The following is a 24,313-nucleotide window of genomic DNA, read 5'->3' on the forward strand; positions in this document are numbered from 1 at the left end:
AAAAGACAGATAGCATGGGCATGGCAGTCTTTTTGAGAGGGGCTACACAGGAGCAGATCATCAACATATTGAAGGAGGTGGACAGTTTTAGGAATAAGGTACAGAGGTTGTGAGCAAGGGCCCGGGTTTCGGCACCAGGTGCAAGGCACTAGTATTTGTTCAAATCCCAAGAGTGCACCAACCAACAGCACAAAGCGGTGTGGAGCAACACACTGTTTTAATGAGCACCTGGGTATAGACGGGCTGAGGCCTAAAATGGCGTCAGCCCCACATGAGGATGGGGCCGAGGTTTTATGGTCTCCTGTAAACAGGAAGTGTCCCTGTCTGATGTAACTGCTATGTGGTACCCGGATGGCCAATCTCTCCATCCTCAGGGATACGTGTCTTCCGGCCAGCCCTCTTCCTGCTTCTGCTATCTTGCTGATGTGCACTTGTCGCACAAGTGGCCTTGCGCCTTGGGACTGGGCCTGAGGAGGGAGGAGTTATTCATCCCCCCAAGCTTTCAGGCCCCAGGGAGAATCTTTCATTTATTACATTCCTTTCTCAGTTTTTATTGAGTTTCTCACACTGAACTCAGTAAAAGGTCAACTTTGTGTAGGTTCAAAAGATTCTTCTGATTAGATATTTAAAAATATAACTTCTGATTTTGATCTCTTTTTGGTTAGGAGATGAGCAGTTCAGATGGACAGAATTGTGTATTAGGGCTTTCGATTCAACTTGCTAATGTTTATGTGTTGTAGTAAAAACATAACATTTTTAGGAGTAGTCTGATGCTAGAAAGCAAATAGAATACAGTATCTAACCAAAATCTTGCAGAAGAAAAGCTGCATTTACCAGGTAATTTTCAGTTGCTTGAATTGTATCAAGGAGTTGTATTTTTTAAACTAATAATAATAATAAGGCACTTACTTTTTTAAAAAAAATTCCTTATTCAGAGATCCAGATTTCTGAAGACAAAGGGAGACAATAGTGTTTAAACTAGTGCAAATTTCTGGAATTTAGAACATGAATTCTCAATACAAAGGCTAAAAGACTTTCCATTTTATGGATAACTTTTTCTCCTTTTCTCTCAGAATCATGGAGAGTAAACTAAAGCTCTGTTTGTTAATAGTGAGACAGTGCCAGGTAATTGTTGTGTAGCTCATACAGCAGATAAAGAACTCACTAACAAATATTTATTGAACATGACATGAGCATGGTGTCTTTATGCTTCAAAATTTGGATAACTCCCCCCATATCATTTTTAAATTTTTTAATATTTAAAAATATTTTCAAGTTACACATAAAGTGTACAAGCTTGATGAATTTTTGCATAGACGTATATGTCTATGTCACTACCACTCTGAGCAAGGTACAAGATATGGAACATTCCAGCCCTGCAGAAGGCTCCCTCATGCACCTGCCAACTTCGTACCCACCCACAATAGTAACCACTATCTGGACTCTATAACAATATATTTGCCTGTCCTGTAATTTTATATAAATGGGATCATGCAGAATATAGATTTTTATGTCTAGATTCTTGCACCCATCAGTATGTCTTGTTCCATGTTGTTGCATGTAACAGTGGTTTGCTCTGTTTTATTGCAGTACAGATTTCTTGGATGACTATGCAGCAATTTATTCATTCTATTATTAGTAGACTTTTAGGATGTTTCTTGTTTTGTGAATATTATGAATAAAGTGGCGATGAGCATTTTTGTGTGTGCCTTTAATGGATATGTACATTCTGTTATCTTGGGTATTCCCTAACATTTAATATTTATACTTTTTGTTATCTGTTTCCATGGAGAATTCCAACAAAATTATCTTCAACCATAATCTATTTTAGACTAAAATGACATAAACTGAAATTTTTAAAATATGTGTGTGTGAAATCGTCTTTATTAGCAAAAGGTTGTCATTCTTCTTTTTTTCTTCTTCTGGAATATAGCATTTGTTGCTTCTTTGGGGGTTTCCAATAGCAGTTGGCCATCTAAGGAGATAAACACATGATATAGCTGCACTTTGAACTATGTGAGCCAGTGGTAATGTTTCAGCCGTGGAAATGTTCTGTGCTAATATTAGAATCCAGAGAAGCTGTATTTTTTTATAGCCATTTCAGTGACATTTGTTTGGAAGCATATTGCTGCTGTAATTTTTTTAAAATTCTTTTTTCTTTCTTTTTTCCTACAGTCCTCTTTTATCCAAACATAAGGTAAGAGATTGTTTCTTTTGAATATATTTCTAGGAAAAATGTTTGTGTCATATGTCTGTTGTATGGACTATTTTGGAAAATGAGGAAACCTTTCCCAAGTTATTTTCAGCTTCCTAGTTTAATACAACAGTTTCCCCAAAAGTTGGGTTTTCTTGTTTTAAACTTTTTAGATAGCAGCTGTGGAGAAGTCCCAGGAAAGGAAATGCTCCACGCAGTTACTAGTGTCTGAAGATCCAAAGGAAGGAGGAGCTACCACCAAAGAGTCAGGTATGTTTTTAACTTAAGCTATGGAGCAACGTAAAAGATACCTGCCTCTTCTGATCTTTTACAAGTGATACATCTGAATTGCTGCAAAGGATCTGGTTTTTTTTTTTTTTTTTTTTTGCACTTACATTTTTGTACATATACCTCTCCTAGAAAAAGAGCAAAATGAGACTTTTTATATTGGGTAGCTCCACATTTTAGACATCTATTAGTAGATACCATAAAATCTAAGTTCTTATAAAAACATAAAATTCTTATGTTTTCAGTAGGTGGTTATATATATCTAACAGAATAAGAAAAGGTTGTACAAAATGCTCTGAAATAGAATTGGTGTTGGTACATTCATACATTGTTTTCTGTTTAAAAACCAACAGTTATTGTATACACTTTACCAGAAATTTGTTCTGTAAATTTAGATATTTTAAACTCTATATCTTGATAATTTATAGCAATTTAATTTCTCCCCTTTTCTGTTTACTAACATATGATATACTTTAGTTTGTATGTATACATTTCTAAAGCATTTATGATGTATTTCATACCACCTTGTGCCTTACGTCAAAAGATTTTAAGAGGCTTTCTTCTAAATGTTTGGCATGTTGCTCATTATAAAAGCTTTAGAAAATAAAAATAAATAAATATGTTTTAGGGTTTTTTTCCCTTGATACCTAATTTTACTATTAATATATATTTCTAGGCTTTATGTTCCTGGGCCTGAGAGCCCTAATATTGAAGAGGAAGTATCAGGTGTTTTGGATGAGTTGCCCTGAAGTGATATGATGATGGTGATGATGGTGGTGATGGATGGTGATGATGATGATGGTGTTGATGATGTCATAATTAGCCTTTTGCCTTTTTTCCCCCCTTTTTTGTTTGAGACAGGGTCTCACGCTGTTGCCCAGGCTGGAGTGCAGTGGCACCATCACGGCTCATTGCAGCGATCTCCTGGGCTCAAGTAATCCTCCCGCCTCAGTCTCTCCAGTAGCTGAGATTATAGGCACACACCACGGCGCCCCAGTTAATTTTTAAAAATTTTTGTGGGTATGGAGGTCTCACTATGTTGCTCAGGCTGGTCTGGAAGTCCTGAGCTCAAGCGATCCTCTCACCTCAGCCCCACAAAGTCCTGGAATTACAGGCATGAGCCACCATGCCCGGCCAGCCTTTTACTCTTTACAAAGTATATTTTTATTCTTTCAAATCTTACTTTATCTCCTTTTCACTTCTGAAACAAGCTAGGGATATTGCCTGGGGTCAGTCCTACTAGACTCTGTTCTTCCGTCTTTTCCAGTCATTTTTATATTAGAAATCACAGTAAAATGAGCTTCATAACAATCTTAAAGGAGGAAAAATATCACAAAGCTGCCCAGTTTGGGTGTGAACGTGTCTCTGTGTTGAGCACCTTGGGAAAAGTGCTATTACAGGCTGTGCATTTGAGTTTGAGACTTACTTAGCATGGTTGCTGCGCAGCACCTCCTCCTGCTTGGCCTCTGCTTTGAGTCATGTGGTACAGATGGGGAAACTGAGGTACCAAGTTTCAGTCACTTGCTTGGTGCTTTGATTCGCAGCTAGAACCTGGGTCTTCCCATTTCTAATTGAACGCAGCCTGCTTCTGCTAAGTACATTGTATGGATTATCAAAGGCTTCAACAATCCAGATGTCCCAGGAATAACCCTATGAGGGAGTATGGACTAAATTCTGGGGAAAGAAATGTTGCTCCAGTTTCACCAAACAGTGTTTTAAAGAGAAATGTCAATAATGTGGGTGACTCTCCGAATGTAGTTTGGAACTCTTGCCTTTTCCAAAATTATGGTGGAGTTTTTTTCCCCATTATTTTCTGTAGTATTTCTAAATAATGGGATGAAGCAACCATTTTCAGGCTATTTTGTAAATAATACATTGTACCCACAGATAGTCTTTATTACTTATCACTTAAGTGGTATCTCAGTTCATTAGATACCATACTGTAAGTGGTTGTATTTCGTGGCATAGCTGCTGTCCATCACCCCATCTCCTACTCATAGAATGGCACCTCAGACTGTTCTGTACCTTTTCAGTCACTTATAAGCTATTAAATAGTCTCATTTTGCCGGGCGCGATGGCTCATGCCTGTAATCCCAGCACTTTGGGAGGCCGAGGCGGGCGGTTCACGAGGTCAGGAGATCGAGACCACAGTGAAACCCCGTCTCTACTAAAAATACAAAAAAATTAGCCGGGCGTGGTGGCGGGCGCCTGTAGTCCCAGCTGCTGGAGAGGCTGAGGCAGGAGAATGGCGTGAACCCGGGAGGCGGAGCTTGCAGTGAGCTGAGATGGCGCCACTGCGCTCCGCCTGGGCGACAGAGCGAGACTCTGTCTCCAAAAAAAAAAAAAAAAAAAAAAATTGTCTCATTTTGATTATTTAGAGCTTAGCCCTATTCAATCCTGAACTTGATTTTCACATTTAAATCTCACTGTACTCAAAGCTCTTCTCCGCCCTCCAGTTGCCAGGGCTGGGAACACTGTCTGCTCCTGGTTGGAGTTAGCTGGACTGGTGATTATGACTGAACCCAGGTTGTGCGGTGGCTCCAGCAGGAGCAGCTACGGAGGAGGTTACTCCCAAGCTGCTCCCCTAGATAACTGCAGCCTTTAGGTAACTGACCCTCAGGTGGAAGCAACACACCCCAGTCCTCTGATGTGGGGGTTCTCTCTGCCCTGTGCTTTCACAGTGCCTGTGGGACTGTGGTCCCCAATCTTATTTAGTCTCTGAGTCCTGTGGACATGTTTTGAGGGACATCTTCTGAACCTTTGGGTACCTGGAATTCATGGAGGAGTGGCTTGGCCCCCTTTCCTTTGGATGTGGCCCTCATTGCTCTAACCTTGCCCCATTTTAACAGAGGGAGGGGCAGACAGCAAGCCCAGTGTCAAAGCAGGCAACCAAAGGGAAGTGAAAGGTGCCTTTGTTTTCTTGCAGCCTTACAAACTTTGAGTGATTCTTTGGGGTGGGGAGAGAGAAGGAAGGCTGTATTCTCCCAAAGGTGACCCCTTCTTCCTTCTCCTGATCTGCATCTGATATTTGAGTCAGGGTGTCAGGGGAGGTGCTATGAACTCTACTGAATAGCTACCTCTCAGCAGCCCGAAGTTGAGTGGCAGCCTCAGCACCAGATGCTCTGAAATCTGCAGGCAATGTTTCAGGAATGCCTTTTGCTTGATATGGTATGGGCCTCAATTGTCAGTTGGTGATTAGTATTAAAGTATCAATATGTTTTTGGAGTCCAGGGTGAAAAAGAAAGAAAAAAAAAGTATCAGTAAATAAACAAATGGAATAAAATTATCATCATATTTTCTCTTTTATTTTCACCTTTGGCTCATTATTTATTTAAGTTAAACAACATATTAGTATAAAAAGGTTAAAACTTTTTTTTTTTTTTTTTTTTTGAGATGGAGTCTCGCTCTGTCGCCCAGGCTGGAGTGCAGTGGCGCAATCTCGGCTCACAGCAAGCTCCGCCTCCCGGGTTCACGCCATTCTCCTGCCTCAGCCTCCCGAGTAGCTGGGACTACAGGCGCCCGCCACCGCGCCCGGCTAATTTTTTGTGTTTTTAGTAGAGACGGGGTTTCACCGTGTTAGACAGGATGGTCTCGATCTCCTGACCTCGTGATCCATCCGCCTCGGCCTCCCAAAGTGCTGGGATGACAGGCTTGAGCCACCGCGCCCGGCCAAAAAGGTTAAAGCTTCTAAAATAGTTATGAATGCTAAGTGTACCAATAAAGCGAGGATAAGCAAGCTTCTCTGTTACCTACCCATCCATGCACTTCTCATTCATTATTCACACGGAGGTTTTTAACTGTTTCATTTTAAAGTGAAGGAAAAATAAGTTGGTTTTACTCAAAGTAGAAATTGAAAGAGATGTCAGAATTCAAACCCATTTCTACTTGTTGCAAAAACTTATCCTTTTTATTGCTACCCTTTGCTACCTCCCTTTAAGAAGTTGCTCGGCGTGGTGGCTCACGCCTGTAATCCCAGCACTTTGGGAGGCCGAGGCGGGCAGATCACGAGGTCAGGAGATCTAAACCATCCTGGCTAACACGGTGAAACCCCATCTCTACTAAAAAATACCAAAAATTAGCTGGGCAAGGTGGCGGGCGCCTGTAGTCCCAGCTACTCGGGAGGCTGAGGCAGGAGAATGGTGTGAACCCGGGAGGCGGAGCTTGCAGTGAGCCGAGATCGCGCCACTGTGCTCCAGCCTGGGTGACAGAGCGAAACTCCGTCTCAAAAAAAAAAAAAAAGTTGCAAGTAATTTGCAAACACATTTATTAGTGGTATTATGGTCAAATTATAAATTTGAAGAGAACCGAGTTTGTTCCTTTAATCTTAGTAAACCAGACCAGTACTACTTTTCTTACATTTAAAATGATGAATGTGTTACTGAGGTTCATCATGTAAAAATATTTACTTAATACACCATGTCTTTTTTTGTTTGTTTGTTTTTGAGATGGAGTTTTGCTCTTGTTGCCCAGGCTGGAGTGCAATGGCGTGATCTCAGGTAACCGCAGCCTCCGCCTCCCGGGTTCAAGCAATTCTCTTGCCTCAGCCTCCCGAGTAGCTGGGATTACAGGCATGTGCCACCACGCCCAGCTAATTTTGTGTTTTTAATAGAGACGGGGTTTCTCCATGTTGGTCAGGCTGGTTTCGAATTCCCGACCTCAGGTGATCCGCCCACCTCGGCCTCCCAAAGTGCTGGGACTACAGGCGTGAGCCACTGTGCCTGGCCCCATACACCATGCCTTAAATGTGCTGAAAATAATTTTTGTAACTTCATTTTAATGTAAAAGTTTAATAAAGTTCAGAATATCTTTTAAACCTTTGAAAATGACTTTGTTGATTTTAATGAGGACTAAGTGATTTATTCATATTCACATGCTTTTGAATAATCCCTGTTATGTATAAGGATTCTTTACTAAATATTTTGGGTATTTCCTCTACCTAAAGACACTATTATGCAACAGACAGAATTTCCATTTGAAAGGGTTAGAATATTGCTGTATTACACATATTCATATGTCCCTTCTTTTCCTTCCTATACAAAGTGTTGTTTTGAATTTTTAACAATTTATTTTTCTTCATCTTTAGAGAGTAAAACTTGTCTCGGCACAGAGTCAAGTAAAGAAAGCCAACATACAGTGGAGCCCCTGGGGAGCAGTCCCTGCTGTCATCAGATGGACGTGCAAACAGATTCCCCAAGCCTTTCGGTAACTGCAGGAAAGGACCACATGGAGGAGCTGCTCTGCAGCGCTGAAGCCACGTTAGCGCTCCACACCCAGTCCTCCGAGACAGCAGGGAGCCCGTCTGGGCCAGACTCTTCTGAGGATGCTTGTGAGGATGACAGTCGCTTGCAGCTGGCTCAAACAGAGGCCTGCCAGGATGTGGCCAGAATAGAGGGCATTGCTGAAGACCCTAAGGTGTTTCTTTCCAGCAAGTCAAAGACAGAGCCGTTGATTTCACCAGGCTGTGACCGTATACCTCCTGCATTGATTTCTGAGGGTAAATATTCACAGGCTCAGAGGAAAGAACTCCGTTTGCCACTTCGGGATGCTTCTGAGGCGTTGCCCACAGACCAACTTGAGAACAATGAATTAAATGAGCTGCAGCAGCCTGATCTTACAGACAGTGATGGAAAATCACCACAGGCGCAGGCTGACTCAGACGGTTCTGAGAATGTGCTCTGTGGAAATAATCAAATATCTGACTTAGGCATACTGCTTCCAGAGGTGTGTATGGCCCCAGAGGAAAAGGGAGATAAAGACGACCAACTCAACAAAGAAACAGAAGACTATTTGAACAGCCTTTTAGAAGGATGTTTAAAAGATACTGAAGATTCCCTTTCCTATGAAGATAACCAAGACGACGACTCCGATCTCCTTCAAGATCTCTCTCCTGAAGAAGCATCCTATAGTCTCCAGGAGAATCTGCCTTCTGATGAGAGCTGTCTTTCTCTTGATGATCTTGCCAAAAGGATAGAGATTGCAGAGGTAAATCAGAGATGAAGTACAATTAAAAGTAAAATGGCATTTAAAAAACATATATATGTATTAAATATTGCCTTGTTTTTGTAAGTTTTCCCTTGTCTCAAACATGAGGGAAAATTCTAGTTAACGTAAGCTTTTAATTATTAGTAGTTTTTACATTTGTATGTATTGAATAAAATGACTTTTAATCATTGCAATGTTCATACTACAAGATGTTCTATTGCATGCCTCCAGCTAGAGTGAGCGTTATTGTATATATCCATTTTTTATAGTCCTGACTGTTATGTGGCAGTTCCAGATATTGGAATCAAAACCAGAATAGTCACATTCTAATAAGGAAGTCTCATTTTTCTTCTCATACATCTAGCAGATAAAATATGATATGTACTTACTGTTTCTTCCTCTTGTTAATATATTTTTTAAGTCTTTTAAAATAGTCTAAAGAATAGAGGGAACATTTTAAAATATAAGAGGTACTAGATTAATTTTTAACCTTATATTAAGTTGAAAAAAGAGATTAAGGAAAAATTACCATTTTTCATTGTTTGATAATACAAAAAAAAAGTTTGGAAAAAGAAAAGATAAAAGCCATATCCAAACTACAGCACACTCACGAAGGCGGCCTGGTGTGGTAGAGCAGAATTCGATTGCCTTAGTTCCAGTACAATCCCACCAGGTAGTTAACAGCTTCTTGGAGTTACCTTTTACCTCTGTAAGCCTGTTTTCTTCTCTGAAAATTAGGATACTAGCTGCCTTTCCTTTTCTTCACCATTTTTCCCCCCAAGTTCACTTTTAAGTCCCATTTGTACTCATTGTGTTCTAAATCAGCATTATCATTGAAAAAATAAGGGGGAAAATGAAAAAGTAACAAAGCCAAAGTAGACAGTAAAATATATGTGAAAACAGAAGACTGAAAAGCTGTCTAAGGTAATTATAGCTGCTATATTACTAGCTCCCTTTATTGCCATTTATAGTCAATTCTCTATAAACAATGACTTTTCTTTTTAATTTTTTTCTTGCCAAAATTAGATAGAATAGTAAAGCACTTGGCTTACTATTCATTCTCTTATTTTAACCAGACAGCTTGGTTGCCATTTGCAGTTAATTCTCTACAGACTGTTGTTTTGTTTTTTTTTTTTTTTCGTAGTTTTTGCTTAACAAAATTATTTAATATTGCTTAATGGGCACAGAATTTCCATTTGGGGCAATGAAAAATGTTGGAAATAGATGGTGGTGATGGTACACGTTTTGATTGCAATGAATGCCACTGAATTGTATACTTACAAAGAGTTAAAATGGCAGTTTCATGTGATATATATTTTTCCACAATGTTAAAAATAGTTTTTTAAAAAATTAGAGCTAATGGTATAGCACTTAATCCGGTATTCATTCTCTTGTACATTTTAACTAAATCTCTGGTACAGGAAGTTAACAACACAAAGCTTATACCCATATTCAAATCTTAGCTGTAATACCAAAAAGTTACCATTGTCTGACTGTCCTTTCTCATGCCAACAATCAAGTTGACCATAAAGGGAGAACCCATGTGGTCTAATTTTACCTTTTTAGGTATAAACTGTGAAGAAGAAGCAGAGAGCTCCTGTTGTCTTGCCCACCTTATAAAACGTTTTCCTCTATTTCAACATTTGACTAGTTACACACTGATAATCATATGGTGTGCCTTTTTAGAACTATCTTTCCCCAGTAACTCATATTTGGGAGGATAATAGGAACTTTTGGAATTTCAATTTTTGCTTCTGCCTGAAAGCTGTTCGGCTGGATAAATTTCTATCATCTAGTTTGCCAGATGTCCCCTCCAGAGCAATTCTTTGAGTTTTGGTAACCTTTATCTTCAACCTCCTCCCTACTCAGCTGTGTTGAAGATGCACAAGGGTCTTGTCGTGGATGTATCAAAGGTCTGTAGCATTTCTCCTGTATATTTCAGTCATCTATTGACATGTATTTCCAAAGCCTACAATTGATCAACATCCCTTTCCCAAATTATTTTTCCCCACATCACTAAATTTAAAATTGTTCTCAACTGAGTCATCCTATTTCTAAGAAATTAAAGAGTTGTTTATATTGGGGAAAAAATATTTTAAGGTGGCAGATTGTTAAATTAATGTTGCGTATTACAATTAAATGGAATATTCCCTCCTCAGACTCAAAACACAATGTCACTTCTGCTGGGTAACAGCTAACAGTGGAAATTACATGTGTTTAAAGTTGTCTTTTCTATTAAGTTAATACATAATGGTCTCCTTTCCTAAGATTATATTGATCTATTAAGTTAAGCTATTTTAAGAACCCCAAAAGCTACATATACATGACTTACAAAACTAATTTACTTTCCTATGACAATGCCAAGCAGATTGTTAAACATTTGCTTTCTGAATACTTACTACCCTCGCTATTCTGAAAAGCATGGTTTAACAAAGTCTGCCTAACTCTGTCAGGAAAGGAGTTTTTAAAGTTTCAATGCTAAAAATCACTAATACTTAATATTTTCTAATACCTTAACAATGAGGTTTTGGACCAAGTAAAATATCCAGGCAATTGTGGGTTTGCTTATAAGTGCAAACTTAGGATTTTTATTTTAAAAATTTCTTTTAGATTTGAACATATAAAATTTTAATTCAAACTTTTTTTTTTTTTTTTTTTGATACAGAGTCTCACTCTGTCGCCCAGGCTGGAGTGCAGCGGCACGATCTCAGCTCACTGCAACCTCCATCTCCTGGGTTCAAGCAATACTCGTGCCTCAGTCTGTCGAGTAGCTGGGACTACAGGCATGCACCACCATGCCCTGCTACTTTTTATATTTTTAGTAGAGATGGGGTTTCACCATGTTGGCCAGGCTGGTCTTCAACTCCTGGCCTCAAGTAATCCACCTACCTCGGCCTACCAAAGTGCTGGGATTACAGGCTTGAGCTACCATGCTTGGCCTTCAAACACTTTTTCTGTTTGTGCTTTCAGTAAAATTTTATTAAGAGTCTTCCCTGTGTTTGGTGCTGAGGATACAATGAGAAATCAGATGATGTTGTTGGCCTTTTGGGGGATCTCTGCTGTCACACTTGGCTGATTTTACTGGAATTGTTTTTGAAATTTTTTTTTATGCTTCCTTCCGTTTGTGATTAGAGGATATAGAACATGATCTCTTAATAACCAAGTAATTATGAACAACATTTTTCTTGCACTTAGGAACCCCGAGGCAATGAGTCTGCCCCCTCCACCCCTCCACGCTGCTGTGCTATCGCAGGTGGTCCTTCTCTGTTCGCTTTCCCAGATCTCCCTATCATTTCTCCCCGCCCAGGTTCTCTTACTTCCCTCTTTCTACCATTGTGTTTGTGGTAGAGCATGCTGGTTTGTTCTTTCTTTGCCAGCTTTCCCCTTTCCTCTTGTCTGTCTGCTTTCATTTTCTTGCCACTTTTGCATTGCCCAGCCTTGGCTCCAGTGGAATTTGGTTTTGATCATCATTGCCAGCCCAGTGCAAGCACTTGTTTTGTTGTGTTGCTTTGAACAGTTGGATTCATCAGATCAAATGAAATAATTTACATAAAATGTCACAGAGAACTAAAAATGTCTATACTATTTATATAGTGACATGTATAAAGGGAACTTGTCTAGGTTTGGAAAGCTTTTTCAAACCCAGTAATTTGCTATGTAAAGTGATAGCTTAATATCTGAAGTATTGCTATTCTTTCTTACATAAAAAATAGCATGACACGTTATCATCAAAAGTATAGTTTATACTGTATACTGTTTTTAAAAAGCATCAAAAATTTTATCCTCCTTTCATAGATTTTTAAGAAAAAAAATGATCACATGTGCATTGTCAGACAACACATTGGAAAGATTTACTCGTTTATTCTCTCATTCTGTAATTTTTATTGAGTGACTTCTCTGTGAGGGCCGCATTACAGATGCAGTGACTGAAAATACACGTAAGGATTTTTATGCAGATGAAGCCTGCAATCTAACAGTCGTCTGGCACCAAGTGTGTTGTCTTTTTGCTGAATTTGAACATCCCATAGTTTTTGGCAAAGGATGAAATTGTATTATAATACCTATAATACACTGACGTGATGATTTTAGTGTCAGAACCCAAACCCCCTTTACTCAGGAACCTGATCATGCAAATAAATCATGTGTTTGTTTGGTTCTGGAACCTGGAAGAGTTGCATTATCTTCTCTTTAAACTCTTCAGCTGTTCCTCCTGTAGCCTGAGACTCAGAGGGAGCTCCTAGCATCCAAACTTGAACGAAATGTGCCATGTAAACTCAGAGTGCCAGGATGACCCACGGGGGTGCGCACTCAGCTTGTACAGACTCTTACACACATAGAGATGAGGTAGCTGTTTTCTGAACAAGTGAGGTTGAAATTGAATGTTGGATACATTTTACGAAAGTTAATCTATTTTTGAACATTGAAAATAATCATAGTATGTAATTCAGAGGTCCCCTTGTGAGCAGATTTTAGCAACATGATATGCTGTGTGGAGATAAACCATTCATTTTTCTTCATTAACATCTACATTTATAATCTGCTTGCAGAAATGTCATATGTTCAGAAAAATATATTAAGTGTTTCAGATTGAAGTGATTTTTGTTTTTAGAAATAATTTCATTATTTCTAAAATCTGAGGAAGAAGCCCTGTGTTACTGCTTGGGTCTTTAGAAAGCTTTTAATCTGGCCGGGCACAGTGGCTCACGCCTGTAATCCCAGCACTTTGGGAGGCCAAGGCGGGCGGATCACGAGGTCAGGAGATCGAGACCATCCTGGCTAACACGGTGAAACCCCGTCTCTACTAAAAATACAAAAAACTAGCCGGGCGTGGTGGCGGGCGCCTGTAGTCCCAGCTACTCGGGAGGCTGAGGCAGGAGAATGGCGTGAACCTGGGAGGCGGAGCTTGCAGTGAGCCGAGATTGCACCACTGCACTCCAGCCTGGGCTACAGAGTGAGACTCTGTCTCAAAAAAAAAAAAAAAGAAAGCTTTTAATCTAGGAGAGAGCAACTCATGTTCCTTGCCCTCTGTCTAGATTAGCAACATTTACTTAAATGTTTTCAGAACTGCTTGTATCACATGAAGCAAAATACAGGGGAGGACATAAGTTCACAGTGTCTAGTGGGGAGAAAAATGACAACCCAGATTGCTCCTGGATTTGCCTTTAGAGAAGCTATCTAATCGAAGCTGTGAGTTTTCTTCCCTGTTGCCTATTAAGTGAGGTAGTTATTTCTTGACTAGATAGATCACTGGGATCAGGGAAGTTACTTTACGACTAGCTGCTGTGGGATTCTCTTGCCAAGTGAAGATGGGAGGCTAGCACTAAGCAGTAGTCGCTTATGAAATCACATTGGTAGCTGCTCTATGGATCCGGAACAAAAGAGGGTCTTAGAAACAGCAATCATGGTTGTTCTGCCCAGAATGGCTCTTTTGAGAGGAGCAGGGGAAGTCCAGCCTCCTCACAATAGAAGAAATGCAGTCTTCCAATAATGTAAGAGGTTTTAGAAACAATGGTTGGCCCAGAATTTATGTAGATATCTAAAGAGCGCCCAAAGGAAAACCCAGGAATTACCTGTTTTCCAAATGGCCTCGTCCTTGCCTTTTGTTTTTATCATGACCTCTACATTTTCTAATTAATTAATGCTTCTCTTGATAGCCATGTCTCTTGCGCAAAGCTCTTTTTCTTTTCCTTTTTAATCACTCTTTTAATTTATATTTGTACTGCTCTTCCTGGACTTTTGCAGTAGTTACTTAATAAGTTTCCCTGTCCCTTGTTTCATCTTCTCCCCTCCAAATTGGTCTTACGTTAGCACTCTATAAACTTGGGGTCTCAAACTGGTACCCAAGGAGCCAGTCAGGTATTAGAAGTCAATGAAATGAGTTAGGTGTAGAGTGATAGGAAGAAGGTTTCCACGCCTTGTCTGGAAGTATACAGCTTTTTTAAACTCCACAGATTAAACCAACCACAGCTGAGGGTTCTTGATCGAACACACGGACTGTGAGTTTAAACTCCTGCTATGAAACACTTTTAAACTATCATTCCTTTCCCACGGCTCTCTTTACCTGCAGGATAAAGGCTGTACTACTCGACATTCAGGACTCCTGTCATCTGGCCCACTCTGTCTCCCCAACGTCATCTTCTGTCCTGGGGTCTCAGACTATACCGTAGTCAGACTGGCCCCCTCGCCACCTCCCAGATACACCTTGCATGTCGTCACGTTTGCTCTTTTCCCTCTGTGTATGTCAGCTCCACCCTGAGGTGAGCAACCTTCTTTCCACATACCTATCTCTTCCCAGCCCTCCACATCTAGGTCATGGCTTTTTAGCATGGAGAGTACCAAACAGTGCCTAGCTCATGGCCAGTACTCAGTAAGTGCTAGCTGATGCTATGATTCCCTGATCACTGGAGTCCAGAAGTTTGTTTCTTTCAAACAATTCCTCGGAACTTCAAATGAGGTTGAGGCTGGAACATCACTCTTCCCAAAGTCCTGTCTAGCTGTAATCTCTCTCTGTTATCGTAAGACGCACACATACTGTCTTCTACATCAAACTGCAAACTCCTTAAAGATACGGATTCTGTTAAATACATCTTTATATTCTCTGCAAAGCTAATACAGGCTGTTGTAAATAACAGCCACTATACACAGTAAGGCTTTTTTTCTTAGTTCACTTATAAAAATAAATATCCTTTAATGATAGATTTGGTTTTGATTATTTTCAGTGAAAAAGCTACATTACTCAAACAAGTATTTGCTAGGTGCTATCTATATGTAAATTGCTTATCTGTGTTTTTTTTTTTATTCTTTGGCATATTTAGTGAGCACCTACTATATTATAGAAACTAGGAAGACAGCGCTGAACACAGATCAAGTCCCTGCTCTCATAAAGCTTACTTTCTAGAGGGAGAGACACGTAATAAGTTAACATAAAAACAAAAATATAGTTTTGGATACTGGAAGAACTATTAAAGAATTTCAGCAAGGTCAGGGGATTTAAAGTAACTGAACTGGCAGCTATTTAAACAATTTTCTGGGCCTTAAAAATGGGATCATATCTTGACATTCTCATTTCTTTTTCTATTTTGTACTTACTAAATTGCCCCCTTAAGCAAGCAAAACAAATTGCAAAAACATGAGGTAATGCCTCACCTAGAAACTTAGACACATTGTAAAACTCCTGTGATTTTTTTAAAGGCTTTTTCCTTTTTAAGTGAATCTTTTAAAGATTCGACATTGATGTACTTCATCATCATGCGTTTTTCCCCTTGTTTGCCTTCTCCCTGTATTGCAGTGTTCTAAGATGCAGTGCTGTGGGTCTGAGGTGACCGCCGTGTTCTTTCTGGAAAATGGCTGCTGCTTACAGCTGGTACTCCCTGGCCCAGCGGTGACATGTTTTTATCAATCTGCCATAGAAGGAGCCATGACATTAGTCTACTTCCAGATTAATCAAATGACACAAAGATCTTTCATCTAATCTCCTCTTCCCCTGTGTCTCTAGATGGGCAAATTTGGCCATTAGTTTAAGTATCTCATAAATGAGGTGATGTGTAAGATAAGAATTTTTGCTAGAGTCTTATTTGAAAGTTCTATTAATCTTGTTTTAATTGTAATATATATTATAGCATATGGCATAAAGCAACATTTTAATAGTCATAGAAAATAAGATATTTTCACATTAAGGAACTGGCAAGAGGTTTGATACTGAATTTGTTTTCAAACTCTACCAGCTACTGGCACTGCAAGCTTAAGCAAGTTACTCAAGCCCTTGAAGCTTGGCCTCTTCGTCTGCAAAATGGGGCTGATAAGGCTTCTAAAAGAGAGTTGTGAAAATTAAATATGATATAGTATGTAAATATCGTTACATAAAATGTACACATTTACTAAATTATAGTTGTTATTATGGAACCCAACACTAAAGAAGCGGGCAGAGAATATCACTTGTTTCTGTAGTTAGGAATAGTAGCAGTAAATTTGACATGTGCCACTATAGTGAAATTGCTGGCACTTAAGTTATTTGTCATATACTATAATAATATGATTTATGAATGTTAATTCTCAAATCAGTTGGAAGCCAACTGTGTGTTCTTGTTCAGAATTGACCAACCTAGAGGTTCTGAATTGAGTGAAACCTATATCATTAAAAGAATGTGACTTGGTATCTGTTTTCTTCTTTAATTTTGTGAGGAGGCACTTCCAACAGCAGTGTGTCTCTGAATATTTTTCTTGTCACATTAGGATTCACTATTCCAGAAGAGTTGCGAATAATTTTGTTTTCACAACTAGTTCATTCTGAAAATGCTATTTAAGGTGGTCACTGATATTTGAGGGGAAGTGTGGGAAGAACTATTTATTTGCAAATACAGAAGACTGGGCCAGATGGAATTTTTTTTAATTCTGCATTTATTCATAGAGCACCACCCGTAACAATTACATTAATTATAGCTCAGACATTCTTTTTGGTCTCAATAGAAGGGCTTGGTATATTTGTTTGGGTAAGAATTTGGCAATTGAAGTGGGAAACTAAATTTAGTTTTAAGGCTTTATTTTTTGAGATTTAAAAATTCTTCACCTTTTAATACTGACACTATAGTTTTAAAAACAATGGAAATATTTTTAAGAATAGTCTGGGGCCGGGCACAGTGGCGCAAATCTGTAATCCTGGTGCTTTGGGTTGCTTGAGCCCAGGAGTTCGAGACCAGCCTGGGCAACACAGCAAAACCCTGTCTCCACAAAAGAATGCCAAAAACATTAGCCAGGCATGGTGGCGTGTGCCTGTAGTCCCAGCTACAGGAGGCTAAGGTGGGAGGATTGCTTGAGCCTAGGAGGTTGAGGCTGCAGCGAGCTGTCAGCATGCCACTGCACTCCAGCCTGGGCAACAGAGTGCGACCCTCTCTCAAAAAAAACAGACAAAAACAAAACAAAATAATAGTTTGGAGGGAACACATTGCTCTATGCCCTAAATCAGCAGCCCAGTGTATTTTAGAAACACTTGTCAGTCTTTTGAGTGAGACCCCAAACCGAGACCATGACTTTGTTTTGTCTTACTTGCCCTTCAAGTATGAAATTGAGGCAAACCCCACCAAACTTGTTTCTTAAGATCTTTATGTTGGACTGCCCTGAAGTGGTAAGAAAAAATTCTGTTACAGGTAGATCTGAACTGCGCCCAAAACTCTCGCAAAAATAGAAAGGCTCGATGCTGTCCGCCACTCCCACCTGAGAGTGCCTCCTTGGCCTGCATCTCTTATGCATAAGCTTGGCCCACCGTCCCTTGTTCTCCATCTGTAGGCTGTAGAATCAGAAGACAGTTACAACAGAAAGACCTAGAGAAGATCACTGAGCAAGAACTGAAAGGAAATGATGGAAAAGAGCAGACTCCTTCACTTCAGACACTGGGGCAGGCCCTGCTGAAACAAAAGGGTTTTGGTGGCAGAAAAAAAAGGCGTGGTTCGATTTTTAGCAAGAATTAAGGTATTGTGACGGAGGGGGTGTCAAAAATGTTAGCCCATCCCACACAATTGTAATTTCTCATACTCTGCTTCTCCCATCTTTAAAAAGAATTCAGAAAAAGTTGCCAGAGTTCATTGCCACCCATAGTAAATAAGGTGGGACCACCTGACAAGGCTTGTATCCCTTAGTGTTGACTTCCACAGCCAAACACCACCCTCCCTGGTTGAGGCTGAGCAGGAGCTAAGGCAGGGACCTCACAGCCGCTGCACTAGGACCAGCTCTAGGTTCAGTTGGCTCATTCTGTGCCTTTCCAGATGATTTCAGGAGCTTCTCTTCCTCTGTCAACATGTTTGTTCCTATTTGCATTGTCTTTTGATTTATGGCTTGTATCCGTTTCTTGAATTTATAGATGCAGAATTCATATCAGAAAGATCAATTAAGAGCAACACAACTCTGGGGCTCATCTTTAAAACTATTCTTAATAGGGTTGTTTTTTCTAAGTAGTTAAAACGGCACCTTGAAAATCCCTGTGGTAGGTGAATTCACCATTGGTAAGTGTATGACAGTATTTTATGGAGAAAATAGATCGTGAAGGAATCAATAAACTTCCTCCCCGCTTTTAAAATTTTTGGAAAAATTTTAGAACAGCCAGATTCAAGATCCTCTCCTTTTTTTTACATGTACTAAAAATTAAAAGAATATCAATGATACATCTTTAGTAGTAATGTATTCATGAAAATTAATTCTTGTTTTCCATCTTTTGCTCTTTACAAACTGGTTAAGACTGTTTCCCTCTCAGTGTCAGCAAGGTGCTTATAAAACCTGTTTTCTCTGTTGTGTGAGGGAGTTCTTTAATGACGATGTTGCTTTCTTCATATATTTGTACTTTACCATTTCAAGGCCACTAAAGTACTTCTGTTTTCTCAGAACAAGGACTTCTGAAATACATTATTTCCTATAAAAAGAAAAGAATATATTGTTGGCTTGTTGATTTTTTTTTTGAGATAATGGTTTCTATAGACCCACATTCAGGGAAGCATAGTCAAAGACTATCTTGGTCTATTTGGCCCTAAAAGCCCTAAGATATAAAAAGAACTAATCGAATCTGTAATATTTATGCATAGCGCATTATCGAAGATGGCTGGCTGGAACTGCAAGTCATATTTAGTGTTTTATGCTATTGATTAGATAAATGACATTAGAGGCCATCCTCAGCTTAGTCACTGAGGCCAGCAAGTCACTGATGCCAGCAAGTCACTGGCCTGATGCCAGCAAGTCACTGACATCTTCGGTGTTAGGCCCACAGTGCCTGCCTGTGTCATCACCTACAGCTTGTAGCAATCAGGCAACTAACAAGTTAACTTCTGTGACTGGCCCTGCTGTTCAGGGGCCTTCGGCAAGGCCTCCTGCTTCCCAGCCTGGCTCTCCCACCTGCTCCTCTTCCTTCTTCCTGCACCTTGGAGTCTGTTAGCTCCTAAATGGCGAGGGTTTTTGGTTTTGTTTCTAAATAAGGGGTGGAACATAGGCAGGAGAGAGGCAGCCCAAGTGAAAGAGCTAGAAGGCAACATATAAAGGGGTGGGGTGGGTGTCTGAAGAGATATTAGGCAGCAGACTTTTTCTAGGAAAGGCCAAATTACTAATATTTTAGGCTCTATGATCTCTTAGAACCGCACAGTGCCATTGTAGCCCAGAAGCAGCTGTGCACAGTGTTCAGATGAATCGGCTCAGCTGTGTTCCAATTAAATTATATTCACAAAAGTAGGCAGCACTGGCCTTTGGCCTGTGGGCCATAGTTTGCCAACCTCTGCATACTAGAAAGTAATATGTCCCAGGCCGGGTGCGGTGGCTCACACCTGTAATCCCAGCACTTTGGGAGGCCAAGGCGGGCAGATCACGAGGTCAGGAGATCGAGACCATCCTGGCTAACTCGGTGAAACCCCGTCTCTACTGAAAATACAAAAAAATTAGCCGAGCATGGTGGCGGGTGCCTGTAGTCCCAGCTACCCCGGAGGCTGAGGCAGGAGAACGGCATGAACCCGGGAGGCGGAGATTGCAGTGAGCCGAGATCGCGCCACTGCACTCCAGCCTGGGCGACAGAGCAAGACTCTGTCTCAAAAAAAAAAAAAATGTCCCTAGTAAACTGGCTCTGAGAGAAATTCTGGAAGTCCTTAAAATATTGTGAGCAGTAGAGCATTATTTAGTAAATGCGTAGTTTCTCAGAGAAACTGAGGACAACACTTTAATGTTAAAAGCTTGGTATCTAAATATATTTTAAGCTTCATATGTTCATTTGTTTAAAATTGCTGATGAATGAAAAAAGCAGTGGAGGATTATAAGCATTTATTATAAAGCAAAACCCAGTGCTAATGACGAAGCAAAGAGGGGACTGTGAGTGATCATTTTACCGATAACAGGGAAGTTAAGCTACAAAGCAAGGTGTTCTGATTTCCAGTCGACTGAACACGTCATGCTGCCTGTCCCCGGAGTGAGTTCAGGGGTTAAAAAAGGAAACCAGGGTTTTGGACTTTTGTGTTTCTCAGTCATCTGCAGAGAAGTGAAAGTTTTATTCTGTTAGATTTTGATGTTATTTTTTTCTATAGGAATTGGATACCCCTGTAATAAAAATTCAAATATCTGTTGAATGAGCCTTTTTATAGCTACATGTAGAGATGTCCCGCCTTAATAAAAGAATTATAGGTTCTTATAATTTCTGACAGGTTGTTCCTACTGAAGGATTGGTCTCCATATTAAAGAAGAGGAATGATACTGTAGGAGATCATCCTGCCCAAATGCAACACAAACCATCTAAGCGAAGAGTGAGATTCCAAGAAATAGACGATAGCTTGGATCAAGGTAAACCGCTTGGCACTGTGGCTAGCAGGATAGATGCTCAGTGTTTGCTGAAAGGATGAGTTTGTGAATGATGTGACGTTTACTAACAGGATTTGTAAAAGACTATGTCCGCCAGGCACGGTGGCTCACACCTGTAATCCCAGCACTTTAGGAGGCTCAGGCGGGCAGATCACTTGAAATCAGGAGTTCGAGACAAGCCTGACCAACATGACAAAACCCTGTGTCCACTAAAATTAGAAAAATTAGCGAGTGTGGGGGTACGCGCCTGTAATCCCAGCTACTCAGGAGACTGAAGCAGGAGAATCGCTTGAACCCGGGAGACAGGTTACAGTGAGCCAAGAGCGTGCCACTGCACTTCAGCCTAGGTGGCAGAGCGAGGCTCCATCTCAAAAAATAAATATAAATAAGTAAATAAAAGAATATGTCAGTTTAGTTGCTTTATCTTCTAAGGGAGAAACATATAAAATCCAACTATCATCTTAAATCATTTCTAAATCTTTACTTGCTTAAATAAGTGAGCAAGCTGCAAAATTCAACTTGTGGCCTCCCTGTTCCATAGACAGTTAATGTTGAGAGCTTAGTTCAGTTTCCCTCTTTAGTACTTTTTGTGTGAGTCTGCTATTTTTGTCTTTTGTTGTTTTTTTGTTTTTTTTTTAAGACGGTCTTGCTCTGTCACCCAGGCTGGATTGCAGTGGCGCAAATCACTGCAACCTCAACCTCCACCTCCCAGGTTCAAGCAATTCTCCTGCCTCAGCCTCCTGAGTAGCTGGGCTTACAGGCACATGCCACCACGCCCGGCTAATTTTTGTATTTTTAGTGGAGACGGGGTTTCACCATGTTGGTCAGGCTGGTCTCAAACTCCTAACCTCATGAGGTTAGGATCTGCCTGCCTTGGCCTCCCAAAGTGCTAGGATTACAGGTGTGAGCCACCGCACCAGGCCCTGGCTAGTTTTCTGTATTTTTAGTAGAGATGAGGTTTTGCCATGTTGGCCAGGCTAGTCTCGAACTCCTGGCTTCAAGTGATCCACCCACCTCGGCCTCCCAAAGTGCTGGGATTACAGGCATGAGCCACCATGCCCGGCTTGTCTTCTTTTCAGTGGACAATTAATACTCCTCCTTTATTGTGGAAAATATTTATGAATATTCTCTTCAGTGATTTCCTCTTCATTGATAGAAAAGAGTGTCTCTCGAGAGCAGCAGTTTTACACCATTGCTGCTGTTTGACTTCTTCGTCCTGGGCCTGTCAAACTTAAGGCCCTGACTTGGTCTAACATGAGGTGGTGAGTTTTGTAGTGAACAATGCTGCCTTTTATGGTTGCAAATATGTTTATCTAAGGTGTAAGTAAATAAGAGTAAATGGAAAGGTAACCCAGAACCTGTCAGTGGGCTTCTCATATTCATAAAACAACTGCATTGTTAAAATAACAGTGTAAATATTTAGGTATGCTTTCTGGGTGTGACATAAGTGATAACAGTAGAGGTTTCTGCATTTTTACAATTAGAAAGCTGGTTAGGGGGCCTTAGAAATAATGTCCTAACCCCTGATTTTACTTCTGCACCTTGCTTGTAACTCTCACAGTCTTCTCCAGATAAGGTGCTCACTTCTGTTTGCACTAATTTGACCAAATCGTTCCTTAATAGGAGGAACCCCGGATTTGAAACTCACAGTCTGCATTTCACTTTGTAGCCACCTCATCTTAAACTAAGTCACTTACTTGTAGGAGACTGAGTTCCATCATCTTTAAAATAAGGAGAATAACATCTGCCTCTCTGTCCCTATTGAAAAGCGTGTCAGATAATATGTATAAATTCATTTTGAGAATTATAAAACTAAATGTAAATGTTGATTGTGTTGGTTTGTTCCTAAGCTCTGTGACTTACACGGTGTTTTCATAAACCTCACCTTCTGCCAAAATCTTCCTAAAAGGGCCTGTTCTTCCTTCTGTAAGCCAATGCTATCCCCTGGAAATTAATGTGAGGCACATGTATGATTTTCAGCTTTGTAGTAGCCATGTTAAAGTGAAAAGAAACAGGTGAGATGAATTTTATTTTTTATTTGATTTTATTTTTTTTGAGACGGGATCTCACTCTGTCGCCCGGCTGGAGTGCAGTGGTGCGATCTTGGCTCGCTGCAACCTCCGCCTCCCGAGTTCAAGCGATTCTTCTGCCTCAGCCTCCCAGGTAGCTGGGATTACAGGCATGTTCCCCGACGCCTGGCTAATTTTTGTACTTTTAGTAGAGACAGGGGGTTTCACCATGTTGGCCAGGCTGGTCTCGAACTCCTGACCTCAGGTGATCTGCCTGCCTCGGCCTCCCAAAGTGCTGGGATTACAGGCGTGAGCCACCGCACCTGGCCAGAATTTTAAGAATGTATTTTATTTAACCCAGTACATAAAAATTATTTCAAAATGTGATCTATATGAAAAAATTACTAGTGAGACATTTTACATCCTTTTTTTCACACTAAGTATTCAGAATCTGTGTTCATCGCCGCTCAGTTTGGACCAGCTACATGTCAAGTGCCCAACAGCCACCTGTGGCTCACATCGGACAGTACAGCTCAGACAGGTCTAGGACATATAAATAAAACAAACAGCATAGATGCTTTTACATATTTAAGCTATATTTAAATGTTTGGATTTGAATATATGATAATGAAGAAAAATACTTTAGGTTGTTAACATAGATGAAGTGGGGGTAGGAATCATGTTAAGAAAAGCACGTAAGGCATGGTGCAGTGGCTCACACCTGTCATCCCAGCACTTGGGGAAGCCTCCTCCCAAGTCTTCCTCCTGGATCACTCGAGGCCAGGAGTTGGAGACCAGCCTGGGCAAACATGGCAAGACCCCATCTCTACAAAAAATACAGAAATTAGCAGGGCATGGTGGTGTGTGCACCTTTGGTCCCAGCTACTTGGGAGGCTGAGATGGGAGGATCGCTTGAGCCCAGGAGGTTGAGGCTGCAGTGAGTGTGGCCTGGTGACAGAGCACAACCCTATGTCTAAAAAAAAAAAAAAAAGAAAGACAAGACCGAACTGTCCAAAAAAATACAGCATGATTAATATGATCCTATTTCTTCATTTATATAAAAGACATATTTTCATACATAGGTATAAACTATTTTAGACTGGGCGTGGTGGCTTATGCCTGTAATCCCAGCACTTTGGGAGGCCAAGGCGGGCAAATCACCTGAGGTCAGGAGTTTGAGACCAGCCTGGCCAATATGGTGAAACCCCATCTCTATAACAATACAAAAAGTAGCCAGGCATGATGGCAGGTGCCTGTAATCTCAGCTACCCAGGAGGCTGAGGCAGGAGAATTGCTTGAACCCAGGAGGCAGAGGTTGCAGTGAGCCAAGATCACACCATTGCACTCTAGCCTGGGCAACAAGAACAAGACTCTGTCTCAAAAAAAAAAACAACTATTTTAAAATGTAAATTTCAGAGCAAACAATTTTTTAATCCTATTTTGATGTAAGTCCTGAAATCATACGTGTTTGATCTGAAATGACACACACCAAATTTAACAGTGTTTACCTCTGGGATGGGAAGGA

The 24,313-nt window shown here is 40.4% G+C and overlaps 1 protein-coding gene across 12 annotated transcripts in view, besides 1 other annotated feature; it reads left to right on the forward strand.

Annotated features, from left to right (window-relative positions):
* CNST (consortin, connexin sorting protein) overlaps positions 1 to 24,313 on the forward strand; it is a 102,140-nt gene that overhangs the window by 73,118 nt on the left and 4,709 nt on the right. For 9 of the 12 annotated variants that reach the window (XM_011544111.2, NM_152609.3, XM_011544112.2 and 6 more), the window contains 4 exons: positions 2,176 to 2,197; positions 2,368 to 2,464; positions 7,566 to 8,464; positions 20,626 to 20,761. In XM_011544111.2, the coding sequence (XP_011542413.1) occupies positions 2,176 to 2,197; positions 2,368 to 2,464; positions 7,566 to 8,464; positions 20,626 to 20,761 (1,154 nt within the window). Of the gene's footprint in view, positions 1 to 2,175; positions 2,198 to 2,367; positions 2,465 to 3,158; positions 3,209 to 4,938; positions 5,723 to 6,957; positions 6,979 to 7,565; positions 8,655 to 20,625; positions 20,762 to 24,313 lie in introns of those variants that run through there. The other 3 variants (XM_047447913.1, NM_001139459.2, XM_047447916.1) reach the window with 3 other exon arrangements.
* Positions 7,489 to 8,688: an enhancer, noted in NCBI's record as "CDK7 strongly-dependent group 2 enhancer chr1:246810364-246811563 (GRCh37/hg19 assembly coordinates)". NCBI's record gives its function as "activates an origin of replication core promoter dependent on BRD2, BRD4, P300/CBP, MED14 and CDK7 cofactors, with strong dependence on CDK7, by STARR-seq in HCT116 cells {active_cell/tissue: HCT116}" and the evidence as "EXISTENCE:reporter gene assay evidence [ECO:0000049][PMID:35650434]".

Source organism: Homo sapiens, chromosome 1, assembly GCF_000001405.40.
Source record: "Homo sapiens chromosome 1, GRCh38.p14 Primary Assembly".
In the NCBI taxonomy this organism is placed as follows: Eukaryota; Metazoa; Chordata; class Mammalia; order Primates; family Hominidae; genus Homo; species Homo sapiens.